The 20,347-nt window shown below is 35.5% G+C and overlaps 1 protein-coding gene across 9 annotated transcripts in view; it reads left to right on the top strand.

Annotated features, from left to right (window-relative positions):
* VPS13C (vacuolar protein sorting 13 homolog C) overlaps nt 1-20,347 on the top strand; it is a 208,059-nt gene that overhangs the window by 58,870 nt on the left and 128,842 nt on the right. For all 9 annotated transcript variants that reach the window (XR_007064464.1, NM_017684.5, NM_020821.3 and 6 more), the window contains 7 exons: nt 952-1,014; nt 9,776-9,905; nt 10,484-10,578; nt 16,579-16,721; nt 17,566-17,758; nt 19,005-19,119; nt 20,100-20,236. Coding sequence is in view for 8 of the 9 variants with exons in the window: in NM_017684.5 (NP_060154.3) it covers nt 952-1,014; nt 9,776-9,905; nt 10,484-10,578; nt 16,579-16,721; nt 17,566-17,758; nt 19,005-19,119; nt 20,100-20,236 (876 nt within the window). In the remaining variant the exon portion in view is untranslated. The remainder of the gene's footprint in view (nt 1-951; nt 1,015-9,775; nt 9,906-10,483; nt 10,579-16,578; nt 16,722-17,565; nt 17,759-19,004; nt 19,120-20,099; nt 20,237-20,347) is intronic.

The raw sequence follows: 20,347 nt of genomic DNA, 5'->3' as shown, positions 1-20,347 counted from the left end.
CTAACCTGCACGTTGTGCACATGTACCCTAAAACTTAAAGTATACTAATAATAAAAAAAAAGTAAATACGAACAAACAAATAATCAAAAAAAATAAAAGGTAGAAACACACTGGATACATAATTTGCTTAATGTCTTATGATTTCAGTTATAGAACTATTTCTAGCAATGATTCATAATGTGAAAAATGAGTTGAATTCCTATTTTTCTGAAGTATATCACAATCACCAGTGTGAAATATTAGAAAAAGCGTAGTTATTGGCGTCAGATGGATTTGGGTTCAAGTACTGACTTGGATATTTACCAAGTGTCCTTCTGATTATGGACACAAGTTTCTCAAACTCTCAGGTCTAGTGTTCTCGTATATAAAATGGTAACAATATCTGTCTTACAGAGTGGTGAGAATTGTATGAGACAGCACATAAAGCACTTGGAACACAGGTCACCTGGTTAATGTTGGATTCCCCCACGTACTTTTATATAAATGCCTCAAATCAGTTTCTACTTTAGCCTAATTATTGATTTGCAGAATTTTACATTCTTAAATATTATGTGTTTTGTAATGTCACCGTTAGTACAATGGCTATGTAATGATAAGAATGGGGGGAGTTAGAAGTAAGAATCATAAGGATGATAAATGTAAAACAAGTCCTCTTCCTAAATATTCTTGTTTTCATGTGCATTTATGTCTATGTGTTAATTATAATGGTCTCACAGAAAAATTATTTTCATACTATATTTAATGAGGATTTATTTTCTTAGAAAACTTATTTTCTCTTACTGTAAAAAATTAAAAAATTTAAAAGTCTAGAATACATTCAAATTTATACTAATACTTTCATTAGGTCACAGGTACTGATAATGGACTAGATATGCCTAGAAATCATGAAAGAAAAATTTCTTTTATCTAATGATTAAATTTCTTGTTTATAAGTGCCTCTGTTTTTTACAGGACTTGGAGAAGACTCTAGATGTTTTTAACATAATTTTAGCAAGGCAACAAGCACAAGTTGAGGTAATCATTTTTATTAGCTGATTTTATGTTTTAAACATGTTAATGCCCGCTTTTAAACCTAGGATCAAGAAATTGAAGTTTCACGAGGTGAGGTTTTTATTGCTTAATTTAGTCTCAGGAGAAAAGAAACTGGAGTACTGAAAAAAAGCCACTAATATGAAGGGGAAAAAAAACCTTATTTTTATTATTATTTTTTTTTGAGATGGAGTCTTGCTCTGTCTCCCGGGCTGGGATGCAGTGGCGTGATCTTGGCTCGCTGCAGCCTCTGCCTCCCGGGTGCAAGTGATTCTCCTACCTCAGCCTCCTGAGAGCTGGGATCATAGGCGTGTGCCACCACGCCCGGCTAATTTTTTTTTGTAGTTTTAGTAGAGATGGGTTGTTGCCATGTTGGCCAGCCTGGTCTTGAATTCCTGACCTCAGGTGATCCACTCACCTCGGCCTCTCAAAGTGCTGGGATTACAGGCGTGAGCCACTGCGCCTGGCCACTTAGAAAATTTTATAATGAAAAATCTGAAAAACTCCAAGAAGAAAGTAAATAAAAGACATCTATAATTCTGACAACTTAGAATACTACTGTGATAATTTTGGCTATCAGTTTTTCTCCCATGCTTATATACCTGCGTATTTATGCTTTTTATCTCCTTTTTTTTTTTTTTTTTACTTTTTCTTTGTTTCCTCTTCCTTCCCTTCCTTCTTCCTTCTCTCCCTCTCTTCTTTCTTTTCTCCTTTCCTTCCTTCCTCTTTCCTTCACTTTCTTCCTTTTTTTCCTTTCTTTCTGAAATTGGAAATGATCTACTGATAATGTTTTATAACTGCTTATTTATTGATGCCTTGTGCGCAGTGTTCCATGTCATTTCTAAGATTCTGTAACATGACTTTTTGGTGATGAAAAAAAATTACAAATGCAATGTAACTCATTGTAGAAAAATTAGAAAATATAGATAAATAAAACAAAAACACTCATCTCAGAAACTAAAAGTAACTACTGTTAATACCTTTCTGTATATCCTTTTAGTCCTTTTTATAGTTACAGATGTCCATGTACTTACTCATACTTTTAAATGAGATTAAGGCATATACAGTTGACCCTTGAACAAACTGAACGTTAGGGACGCCAAGCCCCCACACAATTAAAAATTTGTGTATAACTACTTTCTCTCTCTCTCTCTCTTTTTTTTTTTTTTGAGATGGAGTCTTGCTCTGTTGTCCAGGCTGGAGTGCAGTGGCGCAATCTTGGGTCACTGCAACCTCTACCTCCCAGGTTTCAAGCGATTCTCCTGTCTCAGCCTCCTGAGTATCTGGGACTATAGGCATGTGCCACCATGCCCGGCTAATTTTTGTATTTTTAGTAGAGATGGGGTTTCACCACATTGGCCAGGCTGGTCTCGAACTCCTGACCTCAGGTGATCCACCCGCCTTGGCCTCCCAAAGTGCTGGGATTACAGGCATGAGCCACCGTGCCTGGCCTGTGTATAACTTTAGATTCTTCAAAAACTTAACTACTGATAGCCTACTGTTAACCAAAAGCCTTATTGATAAATAGTTGATTAACACATATTTTTAGATGTTATATGTATTGTACACTGTATTCTTACAATAAAGTAAGCCAGAGAAAAGAAAATGTTATTAAGAAAATTATAAGAAAGTGAAAATATATTTACTATTCAGTAAGTAGAAGTCGATCACCATAAAGGTCTTCACATTGAGTAAGCTGAGGAGTGGGAGGAGAAAGAGGAGGATTGTCTCAGGGGTAGCAGAGGCAGAAGAAAATCCTTGTATAAGTGTACTCATGCCGTTCAAACCCATGTTGTTCAAGGGTCATCTCTACACTTGTTCATTTGTTTAGCAAGTACTCACTGAGTGTCTGTTATGCTTGCATTATGGCTAAAAGTATAGACTTGGGAGTCAGATGGTCTGGATTCTGATCCCAGCTTTGCCATCTACTAATTATATGATTTTGGGCCGTTTGACCCCTCTGTGCCTTAGTTTCCTGATTTGTGAGATGAGATTAATTAGTAGTACCTATGTCTTAGGGTTATTGTTAGGAGTACCTCATAATTCATGTAAAACACTTAAATGATTATGTGCCTGGCACATAGCAGTTACTAAACACGTGATTTTTTTTCATTGTCATTATCATTTGCATTAGCCTACATAAATGAACAAAACAGACAAAAATCTTTTATTTATATTGTAGTAGGGGACAAGGTTAATAAGTACTTCAATAAGAATAAAGTAGGAAAGAATATAAGGAGCACTGAAGCTAGTCAGTGATGATGATTTGCAGTTTTAAACAGGGTTGTCAGGAAAAGCCTCACTAACAAGGAAACATTTGAGCAAAGATCTGAAGACCATGGGGCAATCAGCCAGAAAGATATCTAAGGGAAAGGTATAACCAGGCAGAAATAATAAAGTGTAACTGCTTAAAGGTTTTGGGGTTGGAACATACCTGGCTCATTCAGGAAACTAACTGGAGTCCTGAGAGAGGGAAGAGTGGTGGTTGATGAGGTCAGAGAAGTAAGGTAGCAGAGGAATGGGAGGGCTGCTCGTGGGAGTTGAGATTGCCAGATTGTGTAGCATCTTACAAGCCATTGTGTGGATTTTGGCTCTTACTCTGAATTGGGAAACTAATAGTAGGTTTTGAAACAGGGTGATATGATCTGGCATAAGTTTTAAAATTCACCCTGGCTACTTTGAAAGCAGACTGTAGGAAGGAAGGCAAGAGTGAAGACAGGGGGAGCAGTTAGGAGGCTATTGAAATAGTTGAGATGAGTGGTGATAGTAGCTTTACTGAGAATGGTTGCAAATAAAGGTGATCAGAAAGGGTCAGATTCTAGATATACTTTGAGGGTACAGCCAGTATTTCCTGACTGACTAGATGTGAGTTGTAGGAGAGAGAGTAAAAAATGCCTTTAAATATTTTGACTTGGAGCAGTTGGAAGGATGGATTTGCTATCAAATAAGAGGGGGAAGATGGGAGAGAACAAGCTTGAGTGAGATGAGAGAAGACCAGGAGTTCAGTTTGGGACCTATTAAGTTTTAGCTATCTCTTAGACCTCAGAGGGGCAGTGGAGTAGGCAATTATGTGGAGTTCAGAAGAGGAGTCTGTGCTGGATATAGAAATGTAGGAAGGGTCAGCACATGGATTTCTTTAAAGCCATGAGATTGCATGAGATCACCTCAGGAATTAGAATAGCTAGAGAAGAGGAGAGTTGCAAAGATCCAAAGCTTCTATTGTTACAATCAGAGGGATGGGAAAGAACCAGCAAAGGTGACCATAAAGGGATTGCCAGAGTTGTAATAGGGAAGCTGTATGAATGTAACACCTTCAAATTCAAGTGAAGAAAGAATTTCAAGGAAGAGAAAGTGATCAACTGTGACAGATGCACCTGATTTTTTAACTAAGATAGGACAGAATTGAACATTAAACCTACTAAATATGGGATATTTTTAGCCATGACGTTTTTCAAGTAATTTTTTGGCACCAATTTCTTTTTATTCTCTTCTTTTGCACTCTTGATTATTTGGACTCTTAATTTTATATTCTATACATATATATATATATGTATGTATGTAAAATATATAGGCAAGGATGAAAACAGCCATATGTATAAGATATATGTATTCATATATAAGATATATGTGTGTATATGTAATATATATATATGTGTGTGTGTGTGTGTGTGTGTGTGTGTATTTAGACCTTTTGGTGCTCTGTTCATCATTTTTTTTTCCTGCAGTCTTTTTTCTCTCTCTAAGGCTAGATAATTTCTGTTGATCTATCTTCAAGTTCTGTCTTTCTTCTGTCATCTTCATTTTGCTATTGAACCCATCCTGGGAGTTTTTAATTTCAGATATTATATTTTTCAGGTCTAAAATTACTATTGAGTTTTTTTTTATAGTTTGCATTTCTCTATTGAAGATTCCAATCTTTTTAGTAATTTCCAGTGTGTTTGCCTTTATGTCATGTACTATAGTTTCAGTGCCTCTCTGATAGTTCCAGCTATCAGACATCGAAGTTATCTGATTACTGGCATCTGCTGATTATCTTTTCCTTGAGAATTGTTTACATTTTCAGTTTTATTTGTTTTCGTATGTCAAGTAATTTTGGATTGTATTTTTGACATTGTGATTATTATATAATCTCTGGATCTTGTTATAATCCTCTGGAAAATGTTGACATTTTGTGTTAGTGTACAACCTAGTTAAGTTATGAATCTAAGTTGTGTTTGCCTTCTGTGGATGGTGGTTCAGATTTCAGTTCAGCTCTTTAAACCTTTGGTATGTAAGTTTGAGTTTGTTTTACACGTGAATATTACTGGGGTTAGTTTGAGACTTGCGTGGGTGGTTCATATTAGTTCATGTGGCTAAGACCTTTGCTACTTTGGTTTGGGTTAGTTTCACATATGTGAAGCTTGTATTAGACTGAGATTTTGACAGGTTCATATACAGAATTAAGAGATATCCCCTTCTCCAGCTCTTTCCCTGCCAGGGTTTTCTCACATACATTCTGGCCTTCATGAACTCCATTTACTGGTTCCTTGGCCGGAAATACGGAGTTTTTCTCAGGGTTTTAGCTGCCTGTGCAACTGTGCTCCATGTTCCTCTGCTGTGCTCCATGGTGAGGCCCTTGCTCAGGGCAGAGCCATGTATAGTAGTTTTCTATGTCTGTATAACAAACGTAGTGGCTTGAAACAACACATAGCTATTATCTCTGAGTTTCTCTGGGTCTGGAGTCTAGGTATGGGTTAATTGAGTCCTCTGCTTAAGGTTTTAAAATATTGCAAGATGTTGGTTTGGGACTATGGTATCTGAAACGTGACTGATGGAGGATCCACTTTCCTTGGCAGAATTTAGCTCTTCGTGGCTGTGGGATGGAAGGCTCCAGCTTTTTGTTGATTTCTGGCTAGAGCTGCCCTCAGCTTCTAAATATCATCTTCAGTTCCTTGCCTAATGGGCTTCCCAACATAGACAACCATAACATGGCAGCTTTCTTCTTCAAAAGAAGAGAGAAACTGCAGCAGGATGGTCACTAAAGTCTTGTGTATATAACATACACATTGTACACAGAATCAAGTATATTTTATTACCTTTGCCATACTTTATTGTTTAGAAACTAGTTGCAAGTCATGCCCATGCTCAAGGGCAAGAACATTAGAAATGGGAGATTATGGTGGTGGGGTGGAATGGGGTGGGCACAACATGTGAGAAAAACAAACGTCATGGAAAACTCAGTCTTGTGCAGGTCACTCTCCAAATTGTGACCCCTTCTACTATTTGCCTGCTTTGCTTACTTTTCAAAGTCTCGGGTAGATCTTTTTTATATTTTGTTCAGAAGTTTTATTTGGGTTGAAGATGGCTTATGCCACCATGGAACTAAAACTTTCACTGAAATTAGTAATAAAGAAGTAACTTAAGAGCAATTTTTATAGAATAATGTGGGCAGAAGCTTGATAGGAATGAGAGAGCATGAACGACTGGGAATGGGAGACAGTGAGTAGGAACAGTATGATTCTTTGCTGTAAGCAGAGCAGATAAATGGAGCAGTAAGTGGTGGACAATGTGGAGTCAAGAGAAGGTTTTGTAACTTGCTTTTCTTTCTTTAAAAAAATTGTAGTATCCATTTTCAATGTCAGCAGAATCATTTATCTGACATCATTTAAGATAGCTGAATAGAGGCCGATGTGATGGCCCACTCCTGTAATCCCAGCCCTTTGGGAAGCTGAGATGGGCAGATCACGAGGTCAGGAGTTTGAGACCAGCCTGGCCAACATAGTGAAACCCTGTCTCTACTAAAAATACAAAAATTAGCCGGGTGTGGTGGCACACACATGTAATCTCAGCTACTTGGGAGACTGAGGCAGGAGAATCGCTTGAACCCGGGAGGTGGAGGTTGCAGTGAGCCGAGACCATGCCATTGCACTCCAGCCTGGGTGACAGAGTGAGAATCCATCTCAAAAAAAAAAAAAGATAGCTGAATAGTATTCCATTCTGTGCATATACCAGAATTTGCTTCACTGTTTCTCACTGGCTATATTTAATTGTAAGTGACTCTACAATGAATAGCCTTATCTCTGCATTTTCTCAAACATCCCTTATTTTCTCACAGGCAAATTCCCCAAGGTACAAGTTATTAGGTCAGAAAGTATGAATATTTTAAAAGGTATTTGCTACTGCTGGGGATTGTTCCTATGAAAGAGAGGAATGAATCACCGGAGGATAACAATTTCAATCCTCCATGACTTAAGTTGCTTTAGCTTAAATGTGTATTCTTAGTACCAGCTACAGTTGCTTAAAAAGTGAAGAAAGAGAACTAATATTGGGATGCAGTAGACAAAGAAGGATGGATGTAGAAGAGAAGGCAATTTGATCTATCTAACATTGATTTTTTTCATTGTAATGGAAAGTACATAGGGCCTGAGTTTAAAATGTAGGCGGAGGATTGGCTGAAGTTATTTACCATGGGCAACTTAGTTGGACAGAGAAGGAAGTGAAGGCACCAAGGGGGTAATTGAGGGAAAGGGAAAGCGCTCTGCATCCGTCTTCATCTTAGGTCTCATTTGTATATTTTTATTTATTTTTGGTCTCATATATATATATATATGCTTTGAAATAACTATAGGTTTACAATAAGTAGCAAAGATAGTTCACAGAGGTACTGTGTACCCTTCACCTGTTTCTCCCAGTGCTTACATCTACATAATATAGTACAATACCAAAACCAAGAATTTGACATTGGTATGATGTGTGTGTATAGTTCTGTGACAGCTCTCATATTTTTAAATATTAATTCTTATTTATTTTTAAATGGTAATTGACAAACGTAGGAAAACTTTTCTTCACTGTTCTTTGTTACTTCATTTTCTTCATAGCCTTTCTATGTTTGAAATTAGTATTTTTGATTGTGTGCTTTCCTAATTCATCTCTTTTTCTCTTTATTATGTGTAAAATTTTCAGTTTATTTTTAAATTCCTTGAAATTTGTAGCATGCTGATCACACCTTTAAGATTTCAACGCTAATGCTAATAATGGCTTTATCTTTCTTTTAAAGGTTTTCAGATATTTAGGTAGAGACTTGGGAGGAAGTTGAATGTTGGGGTTTGTCGCCATACTATCTTGATTTCTCTTAGGATATTTTAAAAAGGTTAATTTCAGTTAATTTTTTTTTCCAAAATAAAATGGCTTCTTTACCCCAAAGTGTAAAAAAATATATTATCTATTTTTATAAAGAATAATTTTTATGGTAGCTAAGAATATGGTAACAATGAAAAAATACAATTTAGTGCCTGCCCTTTTAAAACTTAAAGCTATCAGTTTGGTTAAAAGAGATGTTAATAAAATATCCAAATGCTTTTTAGCTTTTTCTGCTTTTAGATTTGTAAAAACTGTTCATGAATTCATCTGTTTATTAAGTCTCAGTATCTAAGAGAGGTTCAAACTTGAAGTTTCTGGTTGCATTTTCCCTAAAAGAATTCATAGAAGATTCTTAAAAGTGGAAAAACTCAGATGATATACATTTAATTGGGTGTCATTTCCAAAAAAGCTCGGTTTTATCTACTTGTGAAACTGTTGAAGCAGTTAATTCCCTTTATCATGATCTCTGCTGTTGAAGGAAACTAGTTTGTTGTCATCTCAGTGGTTCTGAACCTTGGCTGCATGTTAGAATCACCAGGGGAATTAAAAAAAAAATACCTCTTTCTTGAGAGAGAACCCACTCTCTCAAGATTTGATTTAATTGTTGTGTGGTGGGGCTTTGGCTTTGGCATTTTTTCTCATAAAGCTTCTAGATGATTCTTTTGTGCAGCAAGGATTGAATACCACTGAGCTGTGGTATCCACAGTAGCTGATTTGTCATTTACTTTCATCTTGCAGTTTCAAACAGGGCTTGAAAATGTATATACTCATCCCTAGCTTGTGACAAAAGTTTAACATTTTGCCCATCCTTAGTCTTTACATTCACCAATCAAACCTGTTCTCTTTACTATAGAATTCAACTCTTTACTTTTATCTTCTCTTTTGTATTATTCCACTTTTTATTACACACAGAGGCTTACAATATGTTACCGATTCACTACCAATTTCAAATACTTTAAGTGGAAAAATTATTGAAATTTACTTATTCAGGGAATGAGAACATATAATCTAAATTACTTATCCCCTTTATTTTGTTTATCCCTGTATTCTGCCTTTTGGTTATTCATCCATATTTCTCTGAAAAGTGGGCAAAGAGAAGGAGTGATAGAAAATCAAGTCAGGATTTGTTGAGAAAAGAGGGTGAAATTAGATTTAAGGACTATTTTAATTTATATCCCTCCTTCTGCCACTGTCCTAGTTAGCAAGCCAGCATTGTATATGAATTCTGAAATATAATTGTTTTAAATTAATACTTTTTTGGGTGTGTTTCCTTTCAAGGAACTTTTCATTTTATAAACATGCAGTTCTGGTGGCTTCTTAACTTAAAAATTTGGAAGAATTTGGAAGTCACATTGCTTAGAAGTATTTTACCTGAAACCTTAACTATATTGCTCATAACATGCAGCCTTATCAAAATGCTATCAGTTGGTGTGAGAAGTATTAATAAACTAATAGGGAGACTGCATTTAACTAAATTATGTTGTGAGCATCATTTAAGATCTTGACTGGTGCAATGTTACGTAGCGTTAAAAAAAAAAAAAGAACCATTGTTTTTTTTTCCCAGGCTACACCTGAAAATGAAGAGGGCAACATTCTTAAAGTAAATTTTTTAATTTTTATTTTTCAGGTGATTCGGTCTGGGCAAAAATTAAGGAAAAAGTCTGCTGACACAGGCGAGAAACGTGGAGGCTGGTTTAGTGGGTTGTGGGGTAAGAAAGAGTCTAAGAAAAAGGACGAAGAATCATTGATTCCTGAAAGTAAGTTCCAAGTCAAATAACTTATTGTACAGTGTTAAGTTAAAAAAAAACTGTGTAAATTATATCTTCCCTGTTGAATTTTATTTTGAAATACATTTGAAATAAATTACCTCAGTATAGTAAATATATAAGCAAATACATCAGGCTGGAATATTCCTGTTTATCTAAAATAAAACTTAGACTAAAATAAAACATTGATTTTTTTGTTTGTGAAATAATATTTATGTCAAATTTAAAATGTTTAAATTTAAAGATCTCAACATTTAGCATTTTTTGTTACCTTTTGCATAGATATTCAATTAAAAGTTTCACTTAAGTTTTAAAATACTTAGGGAATTCTAAAACCCATATATTAGAACTGAATTTCCTTAATGGTGTCTCTTTGCCTTTTCTTGACCTTAGCAAGCAAATAGAATATGTTTGGTCAAAGTTGTAGTATATTAGAGGATATTACCTGGCTAATTTTGCTTTAGCATTTGTGTCTGTTGATTTTAGGATACTTGTTAGTTTGGTTAGTCTTTTTAGTTATATTTGTAAAATGGAAGCAATTAATTTCTTAAAATGTTGTTTTTTCATAGCTATTGATGACCTTATGACTCCAGAGGAAAAAGATAAACTCTTCACTGCCATTGGTTATAGTGAGAGTACCCACAACCTAACTTTACCTAAGCAGGTAATTATTTAAGTGGTTTAAAGGAATTTTGTCTCATTGTACTATATTAGATTGAATTGGATTAGACTTACTGATTTTTTTAAGTAATATAAATGTTATTAATTCCACTCTGCTACTTAATGGTTGAATGTTTCAGTCAGGTTTTACCAATTAAAATTCTCTCTCTAACTTTATTTTATTTGATTTTTTGAGATGGAGTCTCGCTCTGTCACCCAGGCTGGAGTGCAGTGGCGTGATCTTGGCTCACTGCAACCTCTGCCTCCTGGGTTCAAGTGATTCTCCTGCCTCAGCCTCCTGAGTAGCTGGGATTACAGGCACCTGCCACCCTGCCTGGCTAATTTTTGTGTTTTTAGTGGAGACGAGGTTTTGCCATGTTGACCAGGCTGGTTTCAAATTCCTGACCTCAGGTGACCTGCCTTCCTCGGCCTCCCAAAGTGCTGGGATTACAGGGGTGAGCCACCGTGCCCAGCCTCCAACTTTAGATTTAAGTAGTTTTAGTGAACATAAGAATAACCTGACAAAAGTACTTATTATAGTGCTAAACTGAATCTTAAAAAAATTTTATCTTAAAAATTTTTTTCAACTTGTGAAGCATAACATATATAAAAAAGTAAGCAAAACCAAAATGTACTGCCTATTTGATTGACTAAAAAGGGAACAGGTGTGCAATTATTATCAAGGTCAAGATTTAGAATATTGCTGTCACCTTAGAAGTCCCTAGATCCCCCATCATTGCTTCTCCAAAGGTAACTGTTACCTTGATTTTTGTGGTAATCATATCTTTTATTTCTTTTTGTTTTTTACTACCAATACTGTTATTTTGTTTTGCATATTTTTAATCTTTCTATAAATGGCCTTATAAAATATATATTTTCTGTTTCTAGTTTTGTTCTTGTGAGATTCATCCCTGTTGTTGCAGTAGATGTATTTTACTAACTTTCATTGCTGTATGGGATTCAGTTATTTGAAAATACCACATCTTATTTATTTGTACTGTTGTTGATGAACATTTGGGTTGTTTCTTGTTTATCATGAATAATGCTGCTCTGAACTTGTGTCTTTTAGTGTGGATGTGTAAGATAACGTTTACTGAGGAGTGGAATTGCTGAGTCATAGGATATGAGCATATTAAATAGTTTTCCAATGTGGAAAACACTTCCGCTATCAGTATGCGAGGATAATTATTGCTTCACGTCTTCACCAGCACTTGGCATTATCAATCTTTTAAATTTTAGCCATTCTAAATGGGGATGAATAGTAGTAGTATTAGGTTGGTGCAAAAGTAATTGTAATATTACGGTTTTAATTTGCATTTCCTGGATGACTAAAGAGGTTTTGCACTTTTTATGTATGTATTGGTCTTTGGTCTTTAGATATGCTATTTTGTGAAAGTGGGTTTTGAGTCTCTTCTTCATTATTAGGTTGTCTTTTTTTCTTATTGGTTTGTAGGAATTCTTTATATATTCTGGATATGAGGCCTTTGCTAGTTAGATGTTAATATCTTCCCCAAAAACGTGGGTTGGCTTTTCACTTTTAGTTGTGTTGCAAGTCTGTCTGCCCACAATGTAAAGTACATTTTCATTCTCTGTTTTTTTTTTCTTTTGAGACAGGGTCTTACTCTCCCAGGCAGGAGTGCAGTGGCACGATCTTGGCTTACTGCATCCTCTGCCTCCTGGGTTGAAGTGAGTCTCCTGCCTCAAGCCACCCGAGTAGCTGGAATTACAGGCATGTGCCACCATGCCCAGCTAATTTTTTGTATTTTTTTTTTTTTTGTAGAGACAGGGTTTTGCCACATTGCCCAGGCTGGTCTCAAACTCCTGAGCTCAAGCGACCTGCTTGCCTTGGCCTCCCAAAGTGCTGGGATTACAGGTGTGAGCCACCACTCCCATCCCCATTTTCATTCATTAATAATATCTTTTGATGGCTAGACTTCTTATTTTTAATATTTATTTTCTTTATTAATCTTTTCCTTTTTGGCTAATGCTTTTTTGGTGTCCTGTTTAAAAGTCTTTCCTCATTGCAAGGTCATGAAACTATGCTTCTAGAAGTTTTATATTGTCTTACTTTATGTATTTAGATTTATGGTCTGTCTAAAATTGATTTTTGTGTATGGTGTGAAGTTGGGGTTAAGATTCAGTTTTTGTCCATATAGCTGTCTCCTTACATAGCACCGGTTGCCTTTGCCACTGCTCTCCATTTACCTCTTTATCATCAGTTAAGTGTCCATATTTGTGGAATTCCTGCTTTATTCCATTGGCCATTTGTCTGTCTTTGTAGTATTGTGTCTTAGTTACTGTAACTTTGTAATCAGTCCTTTGACCTTGTTGTAGAAATCTTTAAACTCTCGTGTTCTTTATGATTACCTTTTCTATTCTTGGTCCTTAAAATTTCCACATAAATTTTAGAATCAGCTGTTCAGTTTCTATAAAAACTTGAGATTTTCATTGGGATTTTATTGACTCTATAAATTAATTTGGGGAGAATTTATGTCTTTATAGTATTGAGTCTTTTCACCTATAAATATAGCACATGGCTCCATTTATTTACCTCTTTTTCATTCCTCTAATAATGTTTTATAATTTTATCTGTAGAAGTTGAACATCTTTTGTTGGATTGGTATAAGTGTCTTTAAAATTTGGTTGAGGCAGAATTTACATACAATAAAGTGCACAGATCTTAAATTTTATTTGATGAATTTGGACAATTGAATACACCTATGTGGTGATCAACAAAAACAAGATAGAGAACATTTCCATCCTTCCAAAAAGTTCCCTTGTAACCCTTTCCAGTCATTTTTCTTCTTTTGCCTTGCAAAACAAACACTTTATAACTTATGTCACCGTGATTACTTTTTCCAGTTCATGCGTTGTTTTGTTTCTATCTTCTTTTGCTCAAAATAATATTTTTGATATTCATCCATGTTGAGTATGTGTCTGTAGATTGTTCCTTTTCATTGCTGAATAGTATTTCATTGTATGAATATACCATAATTTTTTATCTATTTCCTGTTGATATATATTTTTTTGTTTCTGGTTTTGGCTATTACAGATAACACTGCTATGAACATACTTGTACAAGTCTTTGGTGGAGATATGTTTTTACTTCTCTTGAGTTAAATACCTGGGAGTAGAGTTGCTGGGTCATAGGGTAAATATGTATAACTTTTCTAAAAACTGGCAAACACTTCTCCAAAAGTTGTAATATTTTATATTCCTACTACTGGTTCCAGTTGCTACATATTCTTGACCACATTTGATATTGCCAGGCTTTTTAATTTTAGCCATTTTAGCGGATTTGATATGTTCCTCGACTGTGGTTTTAATTTGCATTTTCCTAATGACTAATGATGTTTATACGGTTAGGTTTTTGTGTCCTCTCCCAGATCTCATCTTGAATTGTAATCCCCATAATCCGCCCCTCACCACCATCAAGGGAGAGAGCAAGTGGTAATAATTGAATCATGGGGTTGGTTTCTCCGATACTGTTGTCGTGATAGTGAGTTAATTCTCATGAGATCTGATGGTTTTACACATGGGAGTTCCCCTGCACAAGCTCTCTTGCCTGCTATGTAAGAAGTGTCTTTGCTCTTCCCTTGCCTTCTGCCATGATTGTGAGGCCTCCCCAGCCGTGTGGAACTGTGGGTCCATTAAACCTCTTACTTTGATAAATTATCCAGTCTCAGGTATGTCTTTATTAGCAGCATGAGAATGGACTAATGCACTTGATTATTATAGTTTTATAAGTCTTAAAGTAAGACCTCTGACTTGGTTTTCTTTTTTTTTTTTTTAAGAGTGTTTTGGCTATTTTAGGCCTTTTCCACTTATATATACCTTTTAGAATAATCTTATCAGTGTTTTCAAAAGTACATGCTGCTTTTGTTAGAGATTACATTGAATCTGTAAATTATTATGGGGAAAATTGTAATTTTAGCAATATCGAATATTCCAGTCACATAATTCCTTTCTTTGTCTTTGACCATCTGTCAGTAATTTTCGTTCTACCTGAACAATACCAATTATATTATTTTGTTGAATGCAGTTCTGCTGGTGATGAGTTTTTAAATTTTTTTTGTCTTTCTGAAAATATCTCTATTTTTCCTTATTTCTTGAAGGATACTTTTGTGTATAGAATTCTAGGTTGTTAATGATTTTCTGAGTTTTGAAGGTATAATTTCATTGTTGTTTGGCCTGCATTTTCTTTTGTGTATTCAGCTGTTAGTCTTACGGTATCACTTTAAAGGTAATTTCCACCCATCTCTCTCATTTTTCTATTTTTAAGAAAATCTCTTTACCTTAGATTTTCAGTAATTTTACTGTGATGTGACTAGATATGTATTCATTTTTGTTTATACTGTTTGGACTTCTTACTGTTTGGACATCTTGAGGTTTCATCAATTTGGGAAAAAAATCCTCACTTCCTAGTTTTATTTCCCATCATTTTTTTATCCTTCATCCTTTGGTTCTTCTAATGTACATAGTGGGATCTTTTCATAATATCTCATGTGTGTCTTATTTTCTCTGAGGTATTTCCAAGTTCTTTATCTGTTTATTCTTTGGTTAGTTTCCTCTAATTCTCTCTTCAGCTCTTTATATATTACTGTTAAACTCATTTATTGAATTCTTAATTGGCTTTTGTATATTTCAGTTCTTGAATTTCTATGTGGTTCTTTTTTTATAGCTTCCAAATTCTTTGCTAACATGCTCTGTTTTATCTTTTATGTCTTTGACCCTAATAAATCTAGTAGTCTGAGTAAGTCTAAAATTAGACACTTGATGTCTAGAGCGCCTGTGAATCTATTTTCTGTTGTTTCTGCTGGTTTTTGTTCCAATTTGTCATGAATCTAGTGAGCCTGTCTGTGTGTGTGTGTGTGTACCGGTGTGTGTGTGTGTATGTGTATGTGTGAGAGTGTGTGTGTATGTGTATATGTGCACCAATCAGTGTTACTGTAGGTATTGAGATGATTTGATGCTGTGCTGCAGATCATGGGAGTCTGCCTGCTTCCAGTTCACCTTTACTCTTATGATATATAGCCCTTTAGGGTCCCAGGCAAAAGAATGTGTTTTAGCAGTGCTTTTACCCTTTGGTGGGAACTGATTTCCAATTTTGACCCTGCTAGCCTAGCTTCACAGCCTCTAGGCTGTCCCCTTTGAAATTTCCAAATACCTCTAGGAGAAACAGGTCCCCAAATTCCAGGATCATCTCCCTGGTTCTCTGTTTTACCTCCAGTCTTGACTCAGTAATTTTGGGGTCAGGATTTATTTTCTCAGTGTCTTACTAACTCTGCACAGAAATCAAGCAGATGTTCTATACAGGTTTCTTTCCTTCAGCCACAGGTTTATTCTGAAATACTTAGTTTGTTTCAGAAAAAGCTGCTGAATTGAATCTTTATGCCACAAAATGCTTTGTAATTGTTTCATTGTTATAACCTTTAAAACTAAGAGAGGGCTGGGTACGGTGGCTCACGCCTTTAATCCTAGCACTCTGGGAGGCTGAGGTGGGCAGATCACCTGAGGTCAGGAGTTCGAGACCAGTCTGACCAACATGGTGAAACCCCATCTCTACTAAAAACACAAAACTTAGCTTGGCATGGTGGCGGGCACCTGTGATCCCAGCTACTCGGGAGGCTGAGGCAGGAGAGTCGCTTGAACCCAGGAGGTGGAGGTTGCAGTGAGCTGTGATTGTGCCACTGCACTCCAGCCTGGCAATAGAGCAAGTCTCTGTCTCAAAAATAAAATAAAATAAAACTTAAGAGAAATGAATTTCTAGATCTTTTGTAAGCATCCTATTTGAGTGGACAATTTTGTATTGAATTTTGTAATTTATAGTGAATAAATTTGTAAATGAAGAATTTTTCCTTTATGGTGAGCATGTGGATGCCAGAACCTGCCATGCTGTATTTGTTAGGTTGCTTTATAATTCAGCAAATTTAAATAAGAAATTATTAAAGAAAGTAATAATTATTTAAACTTTAACAATTTTAATTTCATTCTTTCTGTATAGTATGTTGCCCATATTATGACCCTGAAGTTAGTAAGCACCTCTGTTACGATAAGAGAAAACAAGAATATTCCAGAAATACTAAAAATTCAGATAATTGGCCTGGGCACTCAAGTATCTCAGCGACCAGGAGCACAAGCACTTAAGTAAGTTTTTAAAAACTTATTTCAATTTTTACTTTTAGTTATAGTTTTAGGCAAAAAATGTGTGTTATTCAGGTTTAAAAATGATTAGTGCCAGCTCTTTAATTTCTTTTCCTTGTATATGTCAAGATAGCCTTTTTATATTTGCTCTTGTTTTGTTGTGGAGCTGTGTGGGTACTTCATCATTTGTTCTGCCCTCCCTCCTTTCCTTTGTGAATATTTATTGGATAGTATTTAATTTATAGGCTCAATAATGTAAAAGCTGTGGACAAGTACAGTAAGTTTTTGTTTTCAAGAAATGTATGCTATAGCTGATAAAAGATATACAAAAAATTAATAATTCAAGAACTATATAACATTAGACAGCTCTAAGGTAAGAAGGTATTGTAAAATTAAATGCCTCATAGTTAATGCTACACGAGCTTAGTTGTGGAAGAGAATAACTGAGCTAGGAGAAGGCCTAGGATAGCTGAATGGAAATGACTAGGAGAAGCTGGAATGGAGTAAGAGGGTGTTAAGAGTGGCATAGAAATAGGGAGAGGAGTTCATCCATGTCGTGTGATCTTTTATTCATACAACAGTGATCAGAACTTTTACAGTATTCTAAAGTTGGTTGAAGTGAGTTTTTCACGTAGATGAAAGGAGTTAATTAAAACAACAAGAGCAGCAAACCAGATTGTGTGTGAGCAATTGAATGCCTGGCTAAGGAGGTTGAGCTTCAGCTCTGGATAATGTGCATGGATGGTCCTGGTTCTCAAAGACGTTTTTAAAAGGAAATTTGTATTTTAGTCCATTAGATTACAAAAGACCTTGTCTGCATCTTTCCTTGTTCTTCATTGGATTATAGGGTAGAAGCGAAATTAGAACACTGGTATATAACAGGTTTGAGACAGCAGGATATTGTGCCATCACTTGTGGCTTCAATTGGTGACACTACATCATCCTTGCTTAAAATTAAATTTGAAACCAATCCGGAGGATAGTCCTGCTGACCAGACTCTGATTGTTCAGTCCCAGCCTGTGGAGGTCATCTATGATGCTGTAAGTGCAAGGAGAAAGTAACTCTTTATTTAAATCATCTTATGCTTCTGACATACTGTTTTCTTATTTCTCCTCTTTCATATTTAACATTTATTTACTTAATAAGTAAGTTTCCTAATAGGTTTTTCTTGTTTCAAAAGCAGTATATGTTCAGCAGCTAATTTTGATTTTTTTCATATGCAATACATTTTTCCCTACTCCAAGGTTTATTTATCTACGCCTTTGTTAAATTTTAAAAAATCTAATATACTTTTAAAAATTCTTGTTTATTTGCCAACGACTTCCAAATTGTTACACGTTTACTTCCTACTCCAGTTCTTTTTTGTATATTTTCTCTTTTCTTTCAATGTTTGGAACAAATTCAAAGAGCTTTAGGACTGATTAAAATAATTTTAAATATTGTTCACAAGGGAAAAAAGCATTGATGTTTAGATGTTATTGGAAGTTCTGGCTCAGGTTCTGTATCTATGACTTTACCTTTTATTCATGCTATCTTATCCATCATCTCAAGTTAGTCATCAGTATGGATATGGTTCACTACTCATTGCATCACTTGTAGGTTCGCCCCACCTTGTTGAGATCCCTGATGTAATTTTACTTTACGACTGAAAGCTAAATAAAGTGTGTGTGTGTGGGTGGGGGGACAGCATATAAAGACTGCAGAACTCCTTATATTTTATAATTAAAAAATTTTAATTGTGGTAAAATACACGTAACTCAATTTAACATCTTAACTGTTTTTAAGTTTATAGTTCAGTAGTGTTAAGTACATTCACATGGTTGAACAGCCAGTCTCCAGAACTGTTTTCATCTTGGAAAATCTCTGATTTTTTAAAAGTTTAAATTTGGCATGTAGGTAAGAGCTGAATGGCTTTCTTCCTCTTAATTTTCTAAACTTCAAAGTGCAAGGGAATCTAATTACAGGGTAGAGAAGTACTGTTTCATCTTCTGACTAATTGGAGGCTAAATCTAGAAGTAATGTCTGCTGCTACATCCATATGACGCTGTAGAACATACTTTACACCTTAATGATATGTGCACATTTGTTGCCTCTCCAGTAAGCTTGCTTAGGCTCTTCCTTTCTCCAGGTTCTCTTTTACTCCAAAGGGAGATGTAGTAGGACAGAATATCTTAGGAGTTCCACAGTTCAAAGCTACAGCTGTTTAGAATTGAGGTGAAACTTTGAAGTTTACAATATGGAAAGAACCATGTGTAACTTGGTTATGTTAAAAAAATTTTCTTATAGAAAACTGTCAATGCAGTGGTTGAATTCTTTCAATCAAATAAGGGATTGGATCTTGAGCAAATAACATCAGCAACATTGATGAAGCTGGAAGAAATTAAGGAGAGAACAGCTACAGGTGAAGAATTTGAGTGTCTACATAAGCATCAGCTAAGCTTAAAAATTTTGCCTACTCTAATGTAAACATTGTATTCAAAATATTATGTTGCTTTTTTTCTTTATTTTAAACTCAGGCTGTATTACAGTATAGAGTGGACATGGCTTTCTCAAAATCAAATATACCTGATAGACTGGGTGAGAAAGAGCATAATATGGGGCACAGATGATTCTTCCTGCCATTACAGTTAAGAACTCCTGCTTCAGAATGAGCTTGAGATGGAAAACAACCCTCCATCTCAGTTCTTAAGAAACTGTTAATCACACTGTGTGTGAATATAGTTTGAAAGATACTTACTTTTGTATAACATGACCTCTAAACTCAAGCCAACTATTTTATCCAGTTCCTTAACCAAGGAAATAATAAATTATTCTATCCCTACATAAAGTACTAGCTATGTTGGGTTTACTATACTGTGCTATAATAAGATTGTTTACCATTGACTATATGCAGTTTTCACCTTACATGCTGAATTGAGAATCTAATTTGTGAGAAAAAGTAATACTCCTTTGTAATACTTTTCTTTTTTTTTTATTTTTTATTTTCTTTTATTTTTTGAGATGGAGTCTTGCTCTTTTGCCCAGGCTGGAGTGCAGTGGCACAATCTCAGCTCACTGCAAGCTCCGCCTCCTGGGTTCACGCCATTCTCCTGCCTCAGCCTCCCAAGTAGCTGGGGCTGCAGGCGCCCGCCACCACGCCTGGCTAATTTTTTTTTGTATTTTTAGTACAGACGGGGTTTCACCGTGTTAGCCAGGATGGTCTCGATCTCCTGACCTCGTGATCTGCCTGTCTCGGCCTCCCAAAGTGCTGGGATGACAGGCGTGAGCCACCGCACCCGACCTGTAATACTTTTCAAGTAAAACTCTTATTCTAGTTGTTAATAATATGATTACATATTTCAACTTGACCATCTAATCTGTCATTATTTCTTACGTCTTTAGGACTTACACATATTATTGAAACTCGAAAAGTCCTTGATTTAAGGATAAATCTGAAGCCTTCTTATCTAGTAGTTCCACAGACGGGTTTCCACCATGAAAAGTCAGATCTTCTGATTTTAGATTTTGGTACATTTCAGGTAGGTATATATGCGTTTTTTTGTCTGCCCATCTTTGACCTGCTTGCTAGCTAACTCTCCAACAGTTTGCTGTTTTTTTCTTCAGAGTTCACTAAACTAAATGTAGACTTA

Source organism: Homo sapiens, chromosome 15, assembly GCF_000001405.40.
Source record: "Homo sapiens chromosome 15, GRCh38.p14 Primary Assembly".
NCBI lineage: Eukaryota > Metazoa > Chordata > Mammalia > Primates > Hominidae > Homo > Homo sapiens.
Note: the sequence above shows the minus strand (reverse complement) of the source record. Positions and strands in the feature narration are given on the sequence as shown.